This window comes from Homo sapiens, chromosome 13 (genome assembly GCF_000001405.40).
Source record: "Homo sapiens chromosome 13, GRCh38.p14 Primary Assembly".
Taxonomy (NCBI): Eukaryota; Metazoa; Chordata; class Mammalia; order Primates; family Hominidae; genus Homo; species Homo sapiens.
The window spans coordinates 40,316,965-40,321,253 of NC_000013.11; the positions used below are offsets into that span (position 1 = coordinate 40,316,965).

Genomic DNA, 4,289 nt, shown 5'->3' on the forward strand with positions numbered 1-4,289 from the left:
CCATTGTCCCCTCTTGTAGTAAACACTTTAGCCCTCCTTTTTCCCTCTGGCTCAGTTCCTCTCGTCCTTCAGATCTCCCTGTGGGCCTCACTTCCTTTAGAGAGTGAGGAGAGCATCTGCCCATCAGGCCCACGTGAGCTCTCGTTGCCCAGCTTGCTGCCCCTTTAGGAGCCTGGAGGATGCTACACTGCAATGGCCTCATTTTCTTTTTTTTTTTTTTTTTTTTTTTTTTTTTTTTGAGATGGAGTTTCGCTCTGTCGCCCAGGCTGGAGTGCAGTGGCGCGATCTCGACTCACTGCAAGCTCCGCCTCCCGGGTTCACGCCATTCTCCTGCCTCAGCCTCCCGTGTAGCTGGGACTACAGGCGCGCGCCACCATGCCCGGCTAATTTTTGTATTTTTTTTTTTAGTAGAGACGGGGTTTCACCGTGTTAGCCAGGATGGTCTCGATCTCCTGACCTCGTGATCCACCCTTCTCGGCCTCCCAAAGTGCTGGGATTACAGGCGTGAGCCACCGCGCCCGGCCGCCTCATTTTCTCCATATCCTCCACTAGGCTAGATCAGGAGACAAGATTTCCTATTTTTTGCTATTTAATTTCCACCAACTAGTGTAGTTCTTGATCCATGCATTAAAGCATTCAATGAATATTGGTCAAGTGAATGAATATGAGTGACAGCATCACTTAATCTGGTCTCAGGACCCTCTCAAGTCCAGTGAGCCCACAACTCCACGAATCAACAGCAACATGTGCTGGCTGTCAACCACAGCCCTGTTTCCTAGCAAGCCCTCTTTGTTTACTGCAGATGATACCTGCTCCCTAAGAACTGAAATTTAACCTTGTCTCCTGATCCCTATCCATAGCAACCACCGTGACTATCAACACATTCACCACTGGCTTGAGTCTACCTGCATTCTTTCCCTGAGCACATTATCCTACAGTGTTCTCTCATCACTACTGATGCTAATGACCGATGCTTGTCACCAGCTGTGCACAGGTGTGGGCTGGTTCAATGCCCTGAACACTGTTGGTTTAGTAGGCTGCTGCAGGGCCCTTTTTTCAGTCCAGAGGGGGGTCTTCTTCTCTCTGGAAGTCCTGGCACACTGTACTCCTGGAGCCACACAAGCAGCCTCCAACTTCATGTGTGCTTATTTGCATATGCATGTGTGCCTCTTAAACCACAGCCCCAGCCAAATCTAGCCACTTCCCATCCAGTGAAATCCTTCGAAGAATATGACAACAGTGAACCTGCTCCCTTCTGAGGGAGGAACTAGGAACTAAGAACAAGCCTGTTCCTAGCTCAGGTTTGCCCAAATGTGCCACATATGTGAAAAAACACAAGCTTTTCTACTTACCGTCCAGAAGTTTTCAGATATTGTCACATTTGTGGATAGAAAAATCTGGATGTCTGATTGACCCTGCCTTCACTTTGTGTCCTGTTGATTGCTGTTATATAAACCCTGATGAGCTGATCTTTCTTTTCTCAAATCTGCCATTTCTTGACCTCCATTGCATAATCCCTGAATGTGCCTTCCAGGTGCTATTGTCATTCTGGAGCAAGTACGGCCAAGTCATCTCATGAGAGCTTTGTAAGGATTATCTACAAGCAGTAGCTGTAGGACTTGGCACTCTGCCAGCCAGCAAGAACACTCCGGTGTCCCTCTCCATGCCAGCTGGGCCAGTGGCTCACACAGGTTCTGGGCAAGCTGTGTGTCCCCTCCCTCACCTCTGGTCTCTCCCCAGAAAAATCCCAATGATTAGTGCTTTTCACTGCAGAGGGATGTATTAATAGAATCCAGAGCCATTTTTGTCTTAGAGAAAACCTCCTATAAATACAAAACAGTGCTGTGATATGACCCTATCATTCTCCAACCAACAAATTTTTCCTGAGCATCTGTGATTTACAAGTTCTTGCATAATAGGGTTCCAATTTACCATATCAAAGTAACTTCCTCAAAACTGTATCTTATTTACTTATCAATGTCAAATTTGTTTATTTATTGATCAATCAATGAATTAATCAATTGAGAGATTTCATAAACATGTATTTTGCCTTTACTATATGACAGGTTTAGGGTTTATGATAAGGATCCCAAGAGAAACAAGACGATCTTTTCCTCAAATTGTTCACTATCTGTATTATTTTGCATGGGCTGCCATAATAAACACCACAGACTGGGTAGCTGAAACAATAGAAATTTATTTTCTCACCATTCTGGAGGCTGGAAGTCCAAGATCCAGATGACAGCAGGTTATTTTCTCTGGGGCATCTTGTTGGCTTGCAGATAACTGCCTTCTTGCTATGTCCTCCCATGGTCTTTTCTCTGTGCATACCTACCTACCCCTGGTACCTCTCCCTCTTCTTATAAGGACGCCAGTCCTTTTGGATTAGGGCCCCACCCTAAGGGCTTCATATGAACTTAATCACCACTTTGAAGACCTTATCTACAAATTCTGTAACATTTTGAGTTTCTGAAGATTGGGACTTCAACATAGGAATTTGAGGGTGGGGGAGCACCATTTAGACCATAATACCATCTTCATTAGAGAAGCAGAGAAATTGAAAAGTAGTTACAAGTAAGTGTATTAAGGAGTATGGTAAAGGAGATACAGGGTGATTCTCCAGCATTGAAGAGGACTCCTAACCCAGTCTGAATGAGAGTGGAGGTCAAGGAAGGCTTCCTGGAAGAGTAAGTACAGAGCATACTGAATAAATGTAGCACATACAGAGACCTGCAGTGAGGGACAGCACAGTCAAGGAAAGTAATTCAGTTTGATTAAAACAAAGAGTACAAGAGAATGGGAGCAAGATGGGAGACAGGAAAGGAAGGCAGGGCCAGTAGGAGAGCCACACAGAGGAGACTGGACTCTGCTATAGCAATGGCACATTAAATAAATAAACGCGTGCTGGGAATGGGGAGGGGTGGCCACACACCACATGGGGCTTTATGACAGATGATGGCTGTCACTGTTTGGGGATATATTACAGGCTGGGAAAGCAGTTAGGAGGCTGACAAAATTATCTATGCAAAAGGTGACGTATTAGCAGCAGGCAGAGAGGCTGGGGTGGCCTCTCAATGAAACTAAAGCCAGGGGAAAGGCAACACCTGATAAGGGGAATACAGAGTGAGTAGAACAGTGGCCAAGGAGGGAACTGTAGGAATATTAGCATTTAAAGAAGGCCTAGCAAACTGGACTGTCAAAAGTAATTTTTTCTAATGCATAAAAACTTCAAAATCATAGAGAGAGAGGCTCTGTGCCACTCCATCTTTTAGGAACAAGACAGATGATGATTCTGCCATCATCAATATTTGAAATGCACAGCTTAGTTGTCCTGATATTTGCATGCAGTTTATGCACAGTTTATGGACAGAGGAAGTGAGCAAGTGAAGAATGAATGTGGTTACCTGGAAGTGGTGTAAATCAATTACACCCACACCTAACTGCAAGGGAGGCTGGGAAATGTAGTCTAACTGTAGTCTAGCCATTAGATGAACAGATAGCCAGGGTCTCCCCAATGAGTACAACTTTCCCTGCCAGAAATAGGATGAAGGAAGACATTCCAGCCAGAAAGCATGACATAAGCAGGGGCAGAAATTTTCAGTATGTATTCAGGGACTGTAAGTAGTTGAAATGGTCTATGACATAGAATTCATGTAGGAGCATATTGGGAGCTACAAAGGGAGGCTGAATCTACATTGAACAGAGCTTTAACTATCTCATAAGAGTGTTAAGTTTATTATAATCACCAGGGACCTTTGTTAAAAGGTTCGAAAATGATTTTCACTGAAAAAGATCTTTCAAGTAGATAGAGATAAAGATGTTCATGGAAGAGGAAAAAAGATGAGATAAATGAAGAAAATCTGGATAAGGATTGTCTCTGCTGTATTTTTGAAAGCCTTGATTTAAAAAATGTTTTTTAAAAAAAGTAAGGGCCCAGCCGGGCGCAGTGGCTCATGCCTGTAATCCCAGCACATTGGAAGGCAGAGGCGGGTGGATCATGAGGTCAGGAGATCAAGACCATCCTGGCTAACACAGTGAAACCCTGTCTCTACTAAAAATACAAAAAATTAGCGGGCGTGGTGGCACGTGCCTGTAGTCCCACCTACTTGGGAGGCTGAGGCAGGAGAATCGCTTGAACCTGGGAGGTGGAGGTTGCAGTGAGCTGAGATCGTGCCATTGAACTCCAGCCTGGGCGACACAGTGAGAGTCCGTCTCAAAAAAAAAAAAAAAAAAGATAGTAAGGTCCATTTAAAAATGTTTCACTGGACATACTATGAGATAATAAAACC

The 4,289-nt window shown here is 44.4% G+C and overlaps 1 annotated feature.

Moving 5' to 3' along the window:
- Window positions 788–1,082: a silencer, noted in NCBI's record as "tiled region #8959; HepG2 Repressive non-DNase unmatched - State 7:EnhWF". NCBI's record gives its function as "represses a minimal TATA promoter and a strong SV40 promoter by Sharpr-MPRA in HepG2 cells {active_cell/tissue: HepG2}" and the evidence as "EXISTENCE:reporter gene assay evidence [ECO:0000049][PMID:27701403]".